The following is a 20,837-nucleotide window of genomic DNA, read 5'->3' as shown; positions in this document are numbered from 1 at the left end:
AGTGTTTTCATATAATCTTTTTTTTTGAGACAGAGTTTCCCTCTGTCACCCAGCCTGGAGTGCAGTGGATGATCTCCGCTCACTGCAACCTCTCCTCCTCCCAGGTTCAAGTGATTCTCGTGACTCAGCCTCTGGAGTAGCTGGAACGATAGGCATGCACCACCATTCCCAGCTTTTTTTTTTTTTTTTTAGTAGAGACGAAGTTTCGCCATGGCCAGGCTGGTCTCAAACTCCTGGCCTCAAGTGATCCGCCCGCCTTGGCCTCCCAAAGTGCTAAGATTACAGGCATGAGCCACTGTGCCCGGCCTAGAACCATGGACATGTTCAAGTGGAAGAAAACAAAAAGATATATTTTAAAATTTTCCAGAGACTCACTCCAGATAGTGTGACTTGGATGATCTTAATTTCCTTCATCTTTTTCTAGATTTTAAGATTTCTTTGCAATGATGAATTACTTTTATAATCAAGAAAAAGAAGTTCTTCCTTTTAAGGCAACATTTACCTTAATAGTTCCAAGATCCATCGGATTTTTGACAACGTCATAGTAGTTATGGAGTCCCAAAGCATTAACGTCAACAGGATTATAAAAGGGCCATGCATATGAAAAATGTTTCTTTGCAAGCATTTCTTTAAGAATCTCACTACAGTGCCTTAATTGTTCAGTTACTTTAACAGTCTTCACAACATTATATTGTTGCTGAGAATCTGGCAAAACATTCTTTGGCATATTTTCTTTTATAGGTGGCAGTGCCACTGATTTTTCTGTGAATGTTGGAGAAAATTCACTACTTGCTTTAACTGCTGAAGTTGCAGGAGTTGTTGTATCTGCTTTCCTCTTCACACCTTTTGTAACCTACAACAGAACAATTCAACAACAAAAATATATTTGAGATGATATTCAGAGCATAGTTCCTTATCAGTTAAAAGAAAAAAAGGGAAAGATTATTGGCACCAAGTCTTCATATAGATAATTTACACATATTGTTGTCAATCCATGTATTAAATATTGCTAAAGGTTAATTTCCTTTTGTAGGCAAACTAAATAGTTCGAATATTATCTTCCCACATACCAAAGAATGTCTTGTGCAAACCTTAAGATGAATGAAAAGTAAAAAATCAAAGTCATATACCAAAAAAAGTTTCTGAACACCTGAAAATCAGCAAGAATATATGATTTTTAAAAGAAAACTATATAGGTGAACAACTTCTGATATTAATACTATCAAGATACCCAAACAGTACAAATTCTACCTAAGAAATATCTAAAATTTGGCTAGCCTCTTAGGTGTCTATTCATAAAATGCATAGAGAGGCGGAAACAGTATTATTTCAGATTGCTAGATGCTAAATGAATTAAAAAAGAAAAATTGCTAGACGCTGAAGACTAATTTTCCTATAAATGGAAAAAAAAAATCCAGTGTTAAAAAGCAATGATTTAAAAACTACAACAAACTTACTTGGGCCGCAGTTTGTGAACTGGAGTTGACTGAAGCTCCCTGTACCACGTTCAAGGGAGAAATAGATGTCTTAGGAAATACAGAAGGAATTTCTTGCTGCTTAAATACTTTTTCTGTTGCGCTGGGTGATGATTTTTCTTTAGCAGAAGAAACAGCTATATTCTGTTGAGTGCCTGGAAAAGTATGAGCCAGAATCAAATATATGAATGAATAAAGTACAAAATACCACTTTCTGTCTTATTTTCTATTTCATTTAGTTCAGCTTTTTAGCAATATAAGCATAGGATACTTATTTCATTTTGAAATCTACACACACAGGATTAGACAGGTTAGACCAATTTAGATATAATAATGGAGACTTCAACATTTGTTATTAATGGTAGGTTTATCAGTTTTATTCAAAAAGGTGCCTGGCTTAAACCAAGACTAATAATCGAGCTGTGTGGTTAGCTTCAGGTAGCTATGAACATGAGCAAAAATTTCAGATACTCTGGAGACCAACCATACAATACTATGTGAGGTCTTCAGAATGCTCTGCATAAATATCCAAGGACTTCATAATTGTTAACATAGTCCATCACAGAACAAAAGATGTGAATAGGATTCTCTTATCAATACCTTCTTCAGAAAATTCTGCCAAAGGAACAATTGTCACGTTCTTCTGCCCTGTTCTCACAGAATGTTATGATGTAAGACATTTGGATCATATCACTCTGAAATCTGTTATTTCAAAAGTTCAACCTTCCATCAAGGCAACTCTATTCTTCTAATTGTTCACAACAAAAACCTTGAAGTCATCTTTGACTCCACTGTCTCTCAAACTCCATATCCAACCCGCCAGCAAACCCTGTTAGCATTATCTTCCTATCTAGACTTCAAACACTTCTCACAAGTGGCATTCACTCTGGCCCAAGGCATCATCAGTGCACAACTCAATTATTGCAATAACATCCAGGCAGGTCTTTCTTCTGCTTCGGTCCTCTATAGTCTATCCTCAAAACAGCAACCAAAGTGATCTTTTAAAACTCAAATCAGTGATGGCTTGTAATCTCGCTAAGTAAAAACCAAAGTGCTCATAGCATGTGTACGATCTGCTTGTCCTCTTCTCCACACTTCTTCCCTCCTTCCAACCTCACTTTTTTTTTAAAATTTTTTTTATTATACTTTTAAGTTCTAGGGTACATGTGCACAAAGTGCAGGTTTGTTACATATGTATACATGTGCCATGTTGGTGTGCTACACCCATTAACTCATCATTTACATTAGGCATATCTCCTAATGCTATCCCTCCCCACTCCCCCTACCCCACGACAGGCCCCGGTGTGTGATGTTCCCCTTCCTGTGTCCAAGTGCTCTCATTGTTCAATTCCCACCTATGAGTGAGAACATACGGTGTTTGGATTTCTGTCTTGCGATAGTTTGCTAAGAATGATGGTTTCCAGCTTCATCCATGTCCCTACAAAGGACATGAACTCATCCTTTTTTATGGCTTCATAGTATTCCATGGTATATATGTGCCACATTTTCTTAATCCAGTCTATCATTGTTGGACATTTGGGTTGGTTCCAAGTCTTTGCTATTGTGAATAGTGCCACAATAAACATATGTGTGCATGTGTCTTTATAGCAGCATGATTTATATTTCCTTGGGTATATACCCAGTAATGGGATGGCTGGGTCAAATGGTATTTCTAGTTCTAGATCCCTGAGGAATCACCACACTGACTTCCACAATGGTTGAACTAGTTTACAGTCCCACCAACAGTGTAAAAGTGTTCCTATTTCTCCACATCCTCTCCAGCACCTGTTGTTTCCTGACTTTTTAATGATCGCCATTCTAACTGGTGTGAGATGATATCTCATTGTGGTTTTGATTTGGATTTCTCTGATGGCCAGTGATGATGAGCATTTTTTCATGTGTCTGCTGGCTGCATAAATGTCTTCTTTTGAGAAGTGTCTCTTCATATCCTTCACCCACTTTTTGATGGGGTTGTTTTTTTCTTGTAAATCAGTTTGAGTTCTTTGTAGATTCTGGATATTAGCCCTTTGTCAGATGAGTAGATTGCAAAAATTTTCTCCCATTTTGTAGGTTGCCTGTTCACTCTGATGGTAGTTTCTATTGCTGTGCAGAAGCTCTTTAGTTTAATTAGATTCCATTTGTCTATTTCGGCTTTTGTTGCCATTGCTTTTGGTGTTTTAGACATGAAGTCCTTGCCTATGCCTATGTTCTGAATGGTATTGCCTAGGTTTTCTTCTAGGGTTTTTATGGTTTTAGGTCTAACGTTTAAGTCTTTAATCCATCTTGAATTAATTTTTGTATAAGGTGTAAGGAAGGGATCCATTTCAGCTTTCTACATATGGCTAGCCAGTTTTCCCAGCACCATTTATTAAATAGGGAATCCTTTCCCCATTTCTTGTTTTTGTCAGGTTTGTCAAAGATCAGATAGTTGTAGATGTGTGGTATTATTTCTGAGGGCTCTGTTCTGTTCCATTGGTCTGTATCTCTGTTTTGGTACCAGTACCATGCTGTTTTGGTTACTGCAGCCTTGTAGTATAGTTTGAAAACTTTTCCCTTCGAAAACTTGCACAAGACAGGGATGCCCTCTCTCACCACTCCTATTCAACATAGTGTTGGAAGTTCTGGCCCAGGCAATCAGGCAGGAGAAAGAAATAAAGGGTATTCAATTAGGAAAAGAGGAAGTCAAATTGTCCCTGTTTGCAGAAGACATGATTATATATCTAGAAAACCCCATCATCTCAGCCCAAAATCTCCTTAGGCTGATTAGCAACTTCAGCAAAGTCTCAGGATACAAAATCAATGTGTGAAAATCACAAGCATTCTTACACACCAATAACAGACAAACAGCCAAATCATGAGTGAACTCCCATTCACAATTGTTTCAAAGAGAATAAAATACCTAGGAATCCAACTTACAAGGGATGTGAAGGACCTCTTCAAGGAGAACTACAAACCACTGCTCAACGAAATAAAAGAGGACACAAACAAATGGAAGAACATTCCATGCTCATGGATAGGAAGAATCAATATCGTGAAAATGGCCATACTGCCCAAGGTAATTTATAGATTCAATGCCATCCCCATCAAGCTACCAATGACTTTCTTCACAGAATTGGAAAAAACTACTTTAAAGTTCATATGGAACTAAAAAAGAGCCCGCATTGCCAAGTCAATCCTAAGCCAAAAGAACAAAGCTGGAGGCATCACACTACCTCACTTCAAACTTCACTTCTTATTACTTCCCTCTGCCCTTACCTCACTCTAGCCTATTGGCCTTGCTCAAATTTGGTAAGCAGAAGCAGACTATTTGTTTTGCCTAAAAGAAGATATCCTTATGCCTCATTCCAACATTTCCTTCAGGCATTTACTCATATGTCACCTTCTCAACCACCCCATATAAAATAACATTTTCGCTCTACCTATCCCCACTCACCAACTGTCTAGCTCTTATTCTGCTTTATTTTTTCCATGCCATTGTCACATTTGATATACAACATATAGCTATTTCCGGCTCTTCAATTCTTGCAAAACAAACTCAGGAACTAAGTAAATTTGAATGTATTTTAAGATAGGGCTGATATTCCTCAATGTCTGAGTTGTCACTACTCTCTAAAACTTAGGAATCAAATACATTCAGATAATCTCACACCCTTTGATATTCCAACTGTTGCTCTTTGAACTCAGGAGCTAATTAGATATGCATAGTGAGGAATAGTTAGAATTATTTAATTTTGTCTCTATCCCTCACAAGAATAAAAAGCTCTGTGAGGGTAAGGGGACTTTGTTTTGGTCACCCCTAAGTCCCTTGTGCCTAATGCAGTACTTGTTACATGAGAGAAACACAGTAAATATTTACTGCATGCCTATTGCGTGTTGGACACCATTTTAGGTGCTAGGGCACAAAAATGAACAAGACAGACATAGTATCTGCTCTTGTAGCTTACTGTCTAGTGTAAGAAACAGACAAAAAATAAGTAATCAAACTGAGTACAAGTGATGCTAAGTGTTAGGAAGGAAATATACAGGTTACTGACTAAATTAAGGCAGAGAACTATTATGGAGAGGGTAGCCAAGGAAGGCCTCCCTCTCTAAAGCTGACAACTAAGATGTCACTATAAAGGTAAGAAGTAGCCAGCCAGGTCAAGAGAACTATAGAATGGGAAGTAAGTCCACATGATTATTGTGTGCATGAAGAAATAAAAGCATTTTAAGAAAGACACAGTAGTTTCCTAAGGCAAATACTGACAGAAGTCAAATAAAATGAGAATAGAAAAACACTACTTAAATTTTGCAGCATGAAGACTACAAGTGACCCTGACTGACAAAAGGTTTTTGGTGGTGAATCAAAGCTAGAATTTGTGCTAAGGAGACTACATGAGTATACAGGAAGAAAGAAAGAAAGAAAAAAAAAAAAGGAACAATAGCTGGAAGGATATGGATAAAGGAGTATTTTAAAGATGAGATACTAGAGCAAGTTTATAGGGTAATGAGACTAACCCCATAGAGGAGGAGAGATTAATGATCCAAGAAAAAAGGGAGATAACAAAAAGGAATAAAATGGTTGAGATGGCAAGATCCGTTCACAAATGAAGGCATTGGCTCAAAGTGATGGAGGAGGAAAGGATCTGTTATAGGCCTTTGCTCTAGCTGATTCCTCTAGCTGGAATGTTCTTTCAAATCTTCACTTCTCAATGAGGCCTCCACTGAATCTGTCATGTTTGTCTCTCACTTACTACTAGAATATTAATTCCAAGATGGCAAAGTTTTTGTTTTATTCACTGATAATATCTCAAGAGCACAGAACAGTGTTGTGGTACATAATCAGCACTCAAGTATTTGCTCAATCAACATTATCAGTTTAATACCAAGTTTTCTTTGCCATAAATTATCAACATGTACGTAACCACATTATTTTAAACTAGCTACCATCATATGACAATTTTCCTACCACTGTGACTAACAAAGACATGACTCTGGTAGTGGAATGCTTCTGTCAGAAGTCTTTTAAACTTAGACATTCCCTCTGAAGCCAAATCCTACCTATTCTTTGAGGTCAAACATAACTTGTATCACCTCTAAAGCCTCTCCCAACTTTTCCAGCGTGATATGGTTTGGATGTTTTGTCCTCTTCAAATCTTATGTTGAAATGTGACCTCCAATGTTGGTGGTGGGGCCTGGTGTGGGAGGTGTTTGGGTCATGAGGGGTGGATCCCTCATGAATCTCTTGGTGCCGTCCTTGACGTAATGAAGGAGTGCTCACTCTATGAGTTCACAGAAGAGCTGGTTGCTTAAAAGAGCACCTCTCCCCTACCCCCACCTCACCATGTGATACAACAGCTCCCTCTTTGCCTTTGACCATGATTGAAAGCTTCCTGAGGCCCAGAAGCTAAGCAGATGCTGGTGCCATAATTATACAGCCTGCAAAACCATGAGCCAAATAAACCTCTTTTCTTTGTAAATTACCCAGCCTCACATATTTCTTTCCTTTTCTTTTTTTTTTTTTTTTTTTTGAGAAAGGGTCTTGCTCTGTCGCTCTGTTGCTCTGTTGCAGTGGTGTGATCATGGCTCACTGCACCTTCAACCCACTGGGTTCAAGCAATCCTCCCACCTCAGGCTCTTGAGGAGCTGGAACTACAAGTGCATGCCACTATACCTGGCAAAGTTTCAAATTTTTCTATAAAGGGTCCTCCTATCCTGCTCAGGCTGGTCTTGAATTCCTGGGCTCATGTAATCCTCCCATCTTGGCTTCCCAATGTGCTGGCATTACAGCCATGAGCCACAATGCCCAGCCAGGTATTTCTTTATAGCAATGCAAAATGTACTAGCACACATCACGTATCAATTTCTCACTCTTGGCCATGCATGGTGGCTCACGCCTGTAATCCTAGCACTTTGGGAGGCCAAGGCATGAGGATCGTTTGAAGCCAGGAGTTCAAGATGAGCCTGGGCAACAAAATGAGACCCCACCTCTGTAAGAAACAAAAAAATTAGCTGGGTGTGGTGGTACATGTCCTTAATATTGGCTACTTGGGAGGCTAAAGTGGGAGGACCGTTTAAGCCCAGGAGCTTGAGGCTGCAGTGAACTGATTGTGGAGTGCCACTGCACTCCAGCCAGGGTGACAGAATGAGACCCTGTCTCGAAATAAAACAAAATTTCTCATTCTTTTCAAACACAGCATATGTTACATGTAATTTCATCTGACACGTGTCATAATGCATTGTCTTTTTTTCCATAATGCACTGTCTTGTAATTTTTTTCAAGTTTTATTTCTAACAAAAAACTTAAATGTAGGCCAGGTGCAGCAGCTCATGCCTGTAATCACAGCACTTTGGGAGGCCAAGGCAGGTGGATCACCTAAGGTCAGGAGTTTGAGACCAGCCTGGCCAACATGGTGAAACCCCATCTCTACTAAAAAATACAAAAATTAGCTGGGCATGGTGGCATGCGCCTGTAATCCCAGCTACTCAGGAGGCTGAGGCAGGAGAATCACTTGAACCTGGAAGGCAGAGGTTGCAGTGAGCAGAGATCATGCCATTGCACTCCAGCCTGGGCAACGAGAGTGAAACTCTGTCTCAAAAAAAAAAAAAAAAAAAAAACACACACACACACAAAAACAAAAAAACTTAAACACTTGAAAGTTAAGTTGCAGCTACTTGTTTCAGATGCTCAGGTAACTGTTAACAGTATGTTTCCCTCAGATAAAAGATCAATAAAAAGATCAATAATTTTTACCTTCTAGCAACATTAAATGGAAAAAATAATAATTTTTATCTTGCTAAGGGTAATAAATTAAGTCAGCAACAATTAGCACGCTGGTTTTACAATTTAAATACCATACTAATCTATGTATTATCTACCTCACAAGGGCTTATTTAAATCTTCTTGTAGAAGCCTAGGTCTCACATTGTCAGACATTAGATCAACCTTTTCTAAAATAAGAATAAGGACTTAAATATAATCAGTGAATATGTGAATATCTCATAGATTTGGTTAAAGCACTATAAGTTATGACCCACCTTAAGGATCTATTAGCAATAAAAAAGTATATATTAGTACCAATAAAAACCTCAAAAAAAAAAAATCAACCTCTGCCATGAACCTATTACAAGCCTCCTATATCTCAGGCACTTAACTATATACTTTATAAACATTTACAATCACGAAAGATAAATATTTTTAGGGCCAGGCGCGGTGGCTCACGCCTGTAATCCCAGCACTTTGGGAGGCCGAGGCAGGCAGATCACGACGTCAGGAGATCGAGACCATCCTGGCTAACATGGTGAAACCCCGACTCTACTAAAAAAAAATACAAAAAATTAGCAGGGCGTGGTGGTGGGCGCCTGTAGTCCCAGCTACTCTGGAGGCTGAGGCAGGAGAATGGCTTGAATCTGGGAGGCAGAGCTTGCAGTGAGCCGAGATCGCACTACTGCACTCCAGCCTGGGCGACAGAGTGAAGACTCCGTCTCAAATAAATAAATAAATAAATAAATAAATAAATAAATAAATAATTTTCCTGATATTGTAAATGAGGAAACTAACATGGAATGACTAAGAACTTAAAGATTACACTGCTTAAGTGATCCAAAGATAAACCAACATTTACTACACTCTTGATTAACCTCTATAATACATCTATTTGAATACTTCAGATTTAAGATTTTTGAAACACCATATTTAAATGATATGATTATTAGTTGTAAAGATGATTTCCTCTAAAGATTTTTGTGAGTGAAGAAAAAGTTAGGAAAAAAAGACAATCTTCCAACGCAATACTAACATTTCATTCTCAGCTATGGAAATTTTTTTTTAATACAGAGAGCACTAGCAATTTGGGCATTCTTATCAGTACAGCACAGATGCAAGATCCACTGAAAACAGCAGTAACAGCTATGATTTTCTGAATCCCTACTATGTGAACGGCATTATGCTACAAGAAAGCTGGCTCTGAGGCCATAATCAATGCAGTCCTCACTATTCTTGAATGATACCCATCCTTGTGATCAAGGTTTGGCAGATTGTTTCAAATGGACATTTTTTATTAATAGAATAGGATGTAGGACTTCTGGATGTCTGTCTCCTTTGAGGGATTTACACACACACATGAGATAGATAGGGGAAAAAAAGAGAGAGAACCATAAAGTGTTTACCTCCTGCCTTACCTTTCTTGATTCTTTCCTTAACACCCACAACTTGCTCTTCTTGTGGCATCTGAGATAATTTCTGCATAAACAGCTTCTCTAGAGCTTGTGCCATAAGAACAATGTCATCTCCAGGCTACAAAATATATTAAATATACCATAAGGATATACAGTATGGTCACTGTACCAAATGTTTTAAATTCAGCCCACTTTATGGAAGGCAGTAACATAGTACTCCTAGACGGTATTCATCTCTTATAAATTTAGAAAATAGTGAAGCTGCTCACATTTTATTTTCTTATTCTCTATGGTTGAAAGCAGCTCACATTTAAAATTCTAGCATCCTACTCCTTCAGCTTCTAAAAAGGACCCAAATGGCTTTCTGAACACTAAAGAATTACAATCCAAGCAATCCTACTAAATCAAACAGGTATTAAAACTGAGAATTTCGCCAGGCATGGTGGCTCACGCCTGTAATCCCAGCACTTTTGGAGGCTGGCGGGGGTAGATCATCTGAGGTCGGGAGTTCGAGACCAGCCTGACCAACATGGAGAAACCCTGTCTCTACTAAAAATACAAAATTAGGCTGGGCGCGGTGGCTCACGCCTACAATCCCAGAACTTTGGGAGGCCGAAGCGGGCGGATCACCTGAGGTCGGGAGTTTGAGACCAGCCTGACAAACGTGGAGAAACCCCATCTCTACTAAAAATACAAAATTAGCCAGGCGTGGTGGTGCGTGCCTGTAATCCTAGCTACTCAGGAGGCTGAGGCAGGAGAATTGCTTGAACCCGGGAGGCAGAGGTTGAGGTGAGCTGAGATAGTGCCATCGCACTCCAGCCTGGGCAACAAGAGCAAAACTACGTTTAAAAAAAAAAAAAATTAGCCAGGTGCGGTTGCGCATGCCTGTAATCCCAGCTACTCAGGAGGCTGAGGCAGGAGAATTGCTTGAACCGGGAGGTGGAGGTTGTGGTGAGCTGAGATTGCACCATTGCACTCCAGCCTGGGCAACAAGAGCGAAAACTCCGTCTTAAAAAAAAAAAAGAGAATTTCTACTCACAAATAGGTTAAAACAAAACTTACTCATGGCAATACAAAGTGTCTCATGGTTTGACTGGAAGTAATTCTGTTTAATTAACTAATTAATAAAATAACACTGTAGCACTGACTCAATTTTTTAATATTTTTTTCTAAGCCAACTCTACCAACATATTCAACGACGAAGTCTCACTCTGTCTCCCAGGCTGGAGTACAGTGGCGCAATCTCGGCTCACTGCAACCTCTGTCACCTGGGTTCAAGCGATTCTCCTGCCTCAGCCTCCTGAGTACCTGGGATTACAGGTGCCTGCCACCGCGTCTGGCTACTTTCTGTAGTTTTAGTAGAGACAGGGTTTCACCATCTTGGCCAGGCTAATCTCGAACTCCTGACCTTGTGATCCACCCGCCTTGGCCTCCCAAAGTGCTGGGATTACAGGCATGAGCCACCGCACCCAGGCAACATATTCAATTTTTCAATCTTAACTATTCGCTTACAAGTCTTCCTCTTGCTTCAATTTATGACTGAGAAAAAAAGTAAGTAATTTACAAAGCAACAGTTCTCTTAAATAAAGAGAACATTTATTTCTAAGTTAGGTAGCTCAGGAAAATTACCAAACTTCATTTTAAAATATTACATCTGAAAGGACCCTTTGGAATTGTAGTTAAATTAAAATGAAGTTGCCAATGGTACTGATTTTTTAAAAATTCACATTGGAGCTGGATGCAGTGGTGTGTGCCTATAATCCCAGCTACTTAGGAGGGTGAGGTGGGAGTATCACTTGAGCCCAGGAGATCAAGTCCAGCCTAGGCAACACAGTGAGTCCGTCTCAGACAAAAAAATCATTCGCATTGGCTAATAGTTTTAAATCTTTTATACATATAAGCTGGCACTGGTGAGTTTTCTTGGGAGCCAAATCAAACTTTCTATTACAATTCAGTGTACTCACCAGTGATTTTGAATAAACGAAATCACAAATACTTAGAATTCTCATATTTAAATGAGATATAAGCTTTAAAATATTTAGATGCCCTAGAACAGCTAGAACAGGATACAGTACTGTAGGAAATGGGAATACTATATGGAAGAAAACCAAATACACAAATCCAATTTTATGGATGAGAGCCAATATGAAGATTAAGTTTAAAATCTCCACATACACTGCACTCCAGCCTGGGCAACAGAGCGAGACTCCATCTCAAAAAATAAAAATAAAAAAATAAAATAAAATTTCTACATATATCATATGGGCAAATTCATTAACACAAATCCAAGTACTACTACTGGGATAGAACAAAGAGCATATCTGATCTCTTTTTTAGACAGAGAAACAAGAGACAGGGAAAGGCAAAAGGGAGAATCAAAGGACTCATCCCAGGAAGGTGGATTTTTTTTTTTTTTTTGAGAAGGTGTCTTGCTCTGTCACCAGGCTGGAGTGCAATGGTGGCATCTAGGCTCACTGCAACCTCCACCTCCTGGGCTGAAGCGATTCTCCTGCCTCAGCCTCCCGAGTAGCTGGGACTACAGGCACATGCCACCATGCCCAGCTAATTTTTGTATTTCTAGTGAGGCGGGGTTTCACCATGTTGGTCAGGATGGTCTTGATCTCTCAACCTCATGATCCTCCCGCCTCAGCCTCCCAAAGTGCTGGGATTACAGGTGTGAGCCACCGTGCCCGGCCAGAACATATCTGATCTTTAAATCAACTTGTGAAGTTTAGAAGTAGGCAATTGGTTTGGCTTTTTAGGTTATGGCCAGGGGTCCATACTGTGAAAATTTAATGAAGATTAGTATATACTAAGGCTTTTCCTTTATCTCATAACTAAAATGACAGGAATGCAATAGAAAACATTCTGAAATACCTTATTCACAGAAACCAGCTCTCATTGGTATTTTGGTTTTTAAAAACATAACAAGCCACTACAGCTATTCAGGCACAAAAATATTATAGCAAATAGACTGAACAAGTATTGGTATGTGAAAATTATGAAATTCAGTGAAAAAGTATTGTCCTTAAAAATATGTAAAAGATCTTGGCCGGGCACAGTGGCTCACACCTATAATCCCAGAACTTTGGGAGGCTGAGGTGGGTGGAACACCTGAGGTCAGGAGTTCAAGACCAGCCAGGCCAACATGGTAAAACCCCATCTCTACTAAAAAAAGATACAAAAAATTAGCCAGGCAGGTTGGTGGGTGCCTGTATTCCCAGCTACTCGGGAGGCTGAGGCAGGAGAATCACTTGAACCTGGGGGCAGAGGTTGCAGTGAGCTGAGATCACACCACTGCACTCCAGCCTGGGTGACAGAGCCAGACTCCATCTCAAAAAAAAAAAAAAAAATTATATACACACACACACACACACACACACACGTCAAGTATCTCAAACGAAGAGAATTGAAATCTGAAATGATCACATGATTTTATACATTTCTCTCCTATATGTAATGGCAAAGAATTAGCAAGTATAACATAAGGCTTACATACCTTGTTATATAAATAACAATTTGAGAACATTGTATTGAAGTCTTCTATACATTCTGAAGCCTTCGCATAATATTTATTCTCCAAGCGCTTCTTAATTGTATTTAAATCCATTGGGTTTTTTATAATGGTATAATAATCCTATGGTTTTGAACAAATTCTAAATGTTAGTAAGAATGAATACACTACAACTATTGATACACAAAGAAATTTAATGCACTATACACCTGCAACTAGAGAGAGCAACTGATTATCTTTAAAAAGCCATATTCTGGCTGGGCACAGTGGCTCACGCCTGTAGTCCCGCACTTCGGGAGGCCAAGGCAGGAGGATCACTTGAGGCCAGGAGTTCAAGATCAGCCTGGCCAACATGGCAAAACCCATCTCTAATAAAAATACAGAAAATTGGCCGGGCATGGTGGCTCACGCCTGTAATCCCAGCACTTTGGGAGGCCAAGGTGGGTGGATCACCTGAGGTCACGAGTTCGAGACCAGCCTGACCAACACGGGGAAGCCCCATCTCCACTAAAAATACAAAAATAAGCCTGGTGTGATGATGCGTGCCTGTAATCCCAGCTACTCAGGAGTTTGAGGCAGGAGAATCACTCAAACCTGGGAGGCAGAGGTTGCAGTGAGCCAAGATTGTGCCACTGCACTCCAGCCTGGGGGACAGAGCGAGACTCTGTCTCAAAAAACACAACAACAACAACAAAAAAAAACAACAGAAAATTAGCCAGGTGTGCTGGCACATGCCTGTCTTCCCAGCTACTTGGGAGGGTGAGGCCCAAGAATCACTTGAGCCCAGGAGGCAGAGGTTGCAGCGGTCAGAGATCATGCCACTCCACTGTAGTCTGGGTGACAGAGTGAGACTGTCTCAAAAAAAAAAAGGCCATATTCTAGAAACTAGAACCTTTAGTAATGAGAAACAAAGCTGACTGCTGTGGCATTATTTTTAGATGCTAAAAAAAAAAAAAAAAAAGCCAATAAAGATGAACAAAGGTAAGAATTTCAGAATAAAATTATCCTTGAAAATAAAAAGGGCATGAGGAAAAAGAACCTTGTTTTTATGGAGTCTGACTCCATAGAATAAAATTCCAGCTTCGAGTTGACTAGCTATATTGTAAACTACTCAACCATTGCATTAATGAATGGCTAAAAATTCCTAACGTAAGACCTAAAGTCAAATTCTGTATGTGATGCAACTAAGCCTGCCAGGAAGTGTCAAGAGAAACTTCATAGAAAAGGTAAAATTCAGGATAACTCTGCATCCAAAAGGTGAAGTGACATATACTATAATAAGAAAACATGTATTACAATTTATCACAAATTATTAAAATAAGAATGCGAATGCTCAGAAAAATAAGCTTTTTTCTTGGAAAAAAATACTCATTGGGATAGACTTTAATGATGCTAAATAAATCAGTTGTTAAATTTTTTTTATTTTTTATTTTTGGAGATGGAGTTTTACTCTTGTTGCCCAGGCAATGGCACAATCTCGGCTTACCACAACCTCCGCCTCCCAGGTTCAAGAGATTCTCCTGCTCAGCCTCCTGGGTAGCTGGAAGTACAGGCATGTGCCACCACGCCCGGCTAATTTTGTATTTTTAGTAGAGACGGGGTCTCTCCATGTTGGTCAGGCTGGTCTCGAACTCCCGACCTCAGGTGATCTCCCCACCTCGGCCTCCCAAAGTGCTGGGATTATAGGCGGGAGCCAACGCGCCTGGCCAAATATGTTTTATAATATTAAAGACTAGTTATGTCTTACAGAAATTTACAGGAGTTTTCTTTTTTTGAAACTAACATAGTTGAAGACATACATACAGGCAACTGTAGTTTCACAGCATCCACAGGACGTTGAAAGGGCCATGAAAAACTATGCTTCCATAAATCCTTTAGGACAACTTTTTGTAGATACTGAAGTTGATTTGTCAATCGCCCATTTTTCTTAGTATTTATATATTCTGGTGGAGGAGGGTTAACAATAATAGCTGTTTGTCGACTTGGCAGAGACATTCTTAACTGCTTTGAATCCTGTCTACAAGTACATGTCCTGAAAAACAAAAACTGAGTACTTCAGAAGCACTTTAGGAATGGTTTCCACAGGAGCTGAAAAGTGTTATTCAAGAGTAACAGAAGCCGGGCACAGTGGCTCAGGCCTGTAATCTCAACACTTTGGGAGGCCAAGGCGGGTGGATCACTTGAGGTCAGGAGTTCGAGACCAGCCTGACCAATGTAGTGAAACCCTGTCTCTACTAAAAATACAAAAATTAGCCAGAGGTGGTAGTGCATGCCTGTAATCTAAGCTACTTAGGAGGGTGAGGAGGGAGAATCCCTTAAATCCGGGAGGCAGAGGTTACAGTGAGCCAAGATCGTGCCATTGCACTACAGCCTGGGCAACAAGAATGAAACTCCATCTCAAAAAAGAGTTAACACATACTGTGTTTTAAAGCACATCATGATTAAGACAGGATGAAAAAAAAAAAAAGCCAAATGGCAAAGGAATCAATTTTTAAACAAATACAAATTTTTTATATACAAATAGTAAAAGTTTCACTATATATGCCTTAGCCTTGGATTTTTTTTTTTTTTTTTTTTTTTTTTTTTTTTTTTTTTTTTTTTTTTTGAGACGGAGTCTTGCTCTGTCACCCAGGCTGGAGTGCAGTGGCTCCATCTCGGCTCACTGCAAGCTCCGCCTCCCGGGTTCACGCCATTCTCCTGCCTCCGCCTCCCGAGTAGCTGGGACTACAGGCGCCCTCCACTACGCCCGGCTAACTTTTTGTATTTTTAGTAGAGATGGGGTTTCACCGTGGTCTAGATCTCCTGACCTCGTGATCCGCCCGCCTCGGCCTCCCAAAGTGCTGGGATTACAAGCGTGAGCCACCGCGCCCGGCCAACCTTGGCTGTTTTAAATTATTTCAACATCTCAGTCTTCCTGTCTTTCACAAAAACACAAATTGAGGTCTTAGCAGGAAAAGTCTATAAATTCCTAGTCGGAAGAAATAACAGAGAATGTTAAAGATATGATCAGTGTGTAAGTATTCTACAATTGTTAATTCAATGAAGAGAGAAAAGCAAAGTAAAAAAATGTTCTGGCTAATTTGAAAAAAGTGATTAATTTATGGTGTCTCTCTCTCTCTCTGAGATGGAGTCTCATTCTGTTGCCCAGGCTGGAGTGCAATGGCGCGATCTCGGCCCACTGTAATGTTTGCCTCCCAGGTTCAAGCGATTCTCTAGCCTCAGCCTCCCAAGTAGCTGCGACTACAGATGCATGACACCATGCAGCTAATTTTTGTATTTTTTTGTAGAGACAGGGTTTCAACATGTTGGCCCGGCTGGTCTCAAAAACCTGACCTCAGGTGATCCACACACCTCAGCCTCCCAAGGTGCTGAGATTACAGCCTTGAGCCACTATGCCCAGCCAAAGTGATTTTATTTTATTTTTCTGTTTTTATTTTTTGAGATGGAGTCTCACTCTACCGCCCAGACTGGAGTGCAGTGGCACAATTTCCACTCACTGCAACTTCCGCCTGCTGGCTTCAAGTGATTCTCCTGCCTCAGCTTCCTGAGTAGCTGGGATTACAGGCACCTGCCACCACGCCCAGCTAATTTTTGTATTTTTAGTACAGGCAGGGTTTCACTACATTGGCCAAGCTGGTCTGGAACTCCTGACCTCAGGTGATCCACCCTCCTCGACCTCCCAAAGTGCTGGGATTACAGGCGTGAGCCACTGCACCCGACCCAAAGTGATTTATTTTAAAACCGAATTTATTAGATTAAAATGTTACTCTGTGGCACATATTGCTACATCTAGAATAAAATATTTTAAATTTCATAGGTGTTTCAGAAAGACGGTATTTAATATTCCTAGACAGCATCATTACTTTAAGGATAATAAAGGTACTACCAACGTGCACATAATACCTCAAGTACATAAGCAAAATGAAAATGAAATAAGTTGCCCATTTTTAGAGACCAGTGTTAACACTTAGCCAATATTATCTTTGTCTGCATTAAAGTAGTATTAGTTCTCACCTCCTGTTGCATATTAATCACTTATATTTTTGAACTGTGGCGTAAAACATACCAAAATTTACCATACTCTTTTTAAGTGTACAGTTCAGCAGTGTTAAGTATATTCATGTTTTTTGTGAAACCAATCTCTAGAACTTTTCCATCTTGCAAAACAGAAACTCTATGTGCATTAACCAACAAATCCTCATTCTTCTGTCCCTGCTGTACCTGGCAACCACCATTCTGCTTTCTGTTGCCATGAATTTGACTACCCTAAATGCTTCATTAAAGTGACAAATCATATTTATCTTTTTTGTGATTGGTTTATTTTTCCTAATACAAAGCCCTCAAGATTCATCCATGTTGTAGCGTGTGTTAGAATTTCCCTTCCTTTTAAGGCTAAATAATATTCCATCGTATGTCTATCATTTTCTTTATCCATTCATTCATTGATGCCACTTGGGTTGCTTCCACTTCTTGACTATATTGTGAATACTGCTGCTATGAACATGGGTTTACAAGTGTCTCAGGACCCTGCTTTCAATTCTTTTGGATATATATACACAAGTGGAATTGCTAGATCATATGGCAATTATATTTCTAATTTTTTGAGGAAGCCCATCCCATTTTCCATGGTCAATACATGATTTCACATTCCCACTAACAACGTACAAGAGTTCAATTTCTCCACACCCTTGCCAATAGTAATTTTTTGTTTTGTTTTAATACTAGCCATCCTAATAGGTATGAGGAGCTGTGGGTCTTTAAAAATACCAATGCTCAGGTCCCAATCTCTGGAGAGAGCGCCTGGGAATCAGTTTTGTTGGTTTTTTAAAAGTTCCCTGTTACTTCTGATGTGCGGCCAAGATTGAGTACTACTACATTAAAATGAATTGAAGGTGGTTATCAATCTTCTACTTTCACGATTTTCATGTTACACATATATGGAAATATAGCACTTAATAAAAGTCATAGGCTGGGTGCTGTGGCTCATGCCTGTAATCCCAGAACTTTGGTAGGCTGAGGAGGGCAGATGGCTTGAGGGCAGGAGTTCAATACCAGACTGGACAACAAGATGAAACCCCCCATCTCTGCAAAAAATACAAAAATCAGTCAGGCGTGGTGGTGCACATCTGTAGTCCCAGCTACTCGGGAGGCTGAAGTGGAAGGACCACTTGAACCCGGGAGGTAGAGGCTGCAATGAGCTCAGATTGTGCCACTGCACTCCAGCCTGGGTGACACAGCAAGACCCTGTCTCAAAAAAGAGCTCAGGAGTTCAAGACCAGCCTGGGCAACACAGTGAGACCTCACCTGTAAAATAAAAAAAAAAAAAAAAAGAAAGAAAAAGAGAAAAATCGTAAGAACAAAGATGGAGCTATTCTAGGATGTCACAACTAAACTGGCTCTTATCCTGGCTTTGTAATTATTTAAAGCTAACCTACTTTTTAGGTGCCCCTGTCACTGTAACCTCCCTCATCCACAAAGGTTAACCACTCCAATCACTACAGACCAAGCTGTGACCATTTTTGAACTTTACATATAGTATTATTTACTATGTATTACGTTTTTGTTTGTTTTTTGAGATGGCATCTCACTCCATCGCCCAGGCTGGAATGCAGTGGCGCGATCTTGGCTCAAAAATATATATATGTGTATTTATTACACAATATACTTTCTGCAGTCTCATGGTTTCATTTTCTACTTTTTTTTGAGTCAGGGTCTTACTGTCTCCCAGGCTGGAGTGCAACAGTATGATCTTGGCTCACTGCAGCCTCAAACTCCTGGGCTCAAACGACTCTCCCACCTCAGCCTCCTGATTATCTGGGACTATAGGTACATACCACAATATCCAGCTCATTTTTTTTGTATAGATGGGGTTTTGCCATGTCACCCAGGCTGGTCTCGAACTACTGAGCTCAAGCAATCTGCCCTCCTTGGCCTCCCAAAGTGCTGGAATTACAGGTAAGCCCACGGTTCCCCGCCTCATTTTCTACATTTAATTTTTTATCTAGAATTACTTTCCACTGGTATCTTTGGCTACAGACATTCCCCCAGCCTTGATTTTTTAAAAAAAATACCTTGCCACACAAAAAACTTACACAGGATGTTTATAGCAGCTTTATTCATAATTGCCAAAACTTGAAAATAACTAAGATGTCCTTAAGTAGGTGAAAGGGTAAATACACTCTACTACATTCATGCAATGAAATATTATTCAGCACTAAAAAGAAATGAGCTATCGGCTGGGCGTGGTGGCTCACACCTGTAATCCCAACACTTTGGGAGGTGAAGGTGGGTAGACCACCCAAGATCAGGAGTTCAAGACCAGCCTGGGCAATATGGTGAAAACCCATCTCTACTAAAAACACGAAAACTAGCCGGGCATGGCAGTGAACGCTTGTAATCCCAGCTACTCAGGAGGCCGAGGCATGAGAATCGCTTGAACCCTGGAGACAAAGGTTGCAGTGAACTGAGATCCCACCACTGGACTCCAGCCTAGGTGACAGAGTGAGACTCCTTTTAAAAAAAAAAAAAAAAAAAAGGGCATGAGTTATCAAGTCATGAAAAGACATCGTGAAAGCCTGAATGTCGTTCTCAAAAAAAGGCAAAACTTGGCCAGGCATGGCGGCTCGCGCCTGTAATCCCAGCGCTTTGGAAGGCCGAGGCAGGTGGATCATTTGAGGTCGGGAGCTCGAGACCAGCCTGGCCAACATGGTGAGACTTCCCTGTCTCTGATAAAAATACAAAAGTTAGCCAGGCAATGTGGCACATTGCCAGTAATCCCAGCTGCTTGGAGGCTGAGGCACAAGAATTGCTTTAATCTGGGAGGTGAAGGTTGTGAGCCAAGATGGCCCTACTAAACTCCAGCCTGGGTGACACAGCAAGACTCTCTCAAAAACAAAAACAAAAACAAAAAACAACAAAAAAACACAAAACTATAGAGATAGTAAAAAGATCAGCAGTTGCTAGGGGTTTGGGGAGGAGGGAATAGGCAGAGCACAGAGGATATTCAGGGAAGTGAGACTACCTTGTATGATAGTATAACGGTAGATCCATTTGTCAAAACTCATGGAATGTACACCAAAACAGAAACTATGGAAACTATTAATGTTGGGTGATGTGTCAATGTAGGTTCATTGATTGTAACAAACGTACCACTCTGGTGCTGTACTAGTGTTGAAACGGGGTAGATGGGAACACTATTTACTGCTCAGTTTTGCTGTGAACCTAAACTCCTCAAAAACATAAAATTTTTTTTTTTTTGAGATGGAGTCTCGCTCTGTCGCCCAGGCTGGAGTGCAGTGGTGCAATCTCGGCTCAGTCCAAGCTCCGCCTCCCAGATTCAAGCCATTCTCCTGCCTCAGCCTCCAGAGTAGCTGGGACTACAGGCGCCCGCCACCACACCCAGCTAGTTTTTTGTATTTTTAGTAGAGACAGGGTTTCACCGTGTTAGCCAGGATGGTCTCCATCTCCTGACCTCGTGATCCGCCTGCCTCGGCCTCCCAAAGTACTGGGATTACAGGCATGAGCCACTGCCCCCGGCCAAAAATAAAATCTATTAAAACACACATACAAATCCTCTCCATGTTCAGCGCTAACACAAAAGTTTTTGCTGTCCCACAAATCATAAATACTGTAAAACATTCCATAATTCCATATCCCTCACTGGCCTTCCTCAGTTACCTTCCTAGACTTCT

At 40.3% G+C, this 20,837-nt stretch overlaps 1 protein-coding gene across 16 annotated transcripts in view; it reads right to left on the bottom strand.

The window, feature by feature from the left end:
- BRDT (bromodomain testis associated) overlaps positions 1-20,837 on the bottom strand; it is a 65,058-nt gene that overhangs the window by 36,533 nt on the left and 7,688 nt on the right. For 12 of the 16 annotated variants that reach the window (NM_001242805.2, XM_006710855.5, XM_011542032.4 and 9 more), the window contains 5 exons: positions 14,950-15,178; positions 13,132-13,269; positions 9,636-9,750; positions 1,458-1,630; positions 503-853 (listed from right to left, as the gene is read on the bottom strand). In NM_001242805.2, coding sequence (NP_001229734.2) covers positions 503-853; positions 1,458-1,630; positions 9,636-9,750; positions 13,132-13,269; positions 14,950-15,141 — 969 coding nt within the window. In that variant the 5' untranslated portion in view covers positions 15,142-15,178. Of the gene's footprint in view, positions 1-502; positions 854-1,457; positions 1,631-9,623; positions 9,751-13,131; positions 13,270-14,949; positions 15,179-20,837 lie in introns of all 16 variants that reach the window. The other 4 variants (NM_001242808.2, NM_001242807.2, NM_001242806.2 and 1 more) reach the window with 3 other exon arrangements.

The sequence above is a fragment of the Homo sapiens genome, chromosome 1 (genome assembly GCF_000001405.40).
Source record: "Homo sapiens chromosome 1, GRCh38.p14 Primary Assembly".
Taxonomy (NCBI): domain Eukaryota; kingdom Metazoa; phylum Chordata; class Mammalia; order Primates; family Hominidae; genus Homo; species Homo sapiens.
Note: the sequence above shows the minus strand (reverse complement) of the source record. Positions and strands in the feature narration are given on the sequence as shown.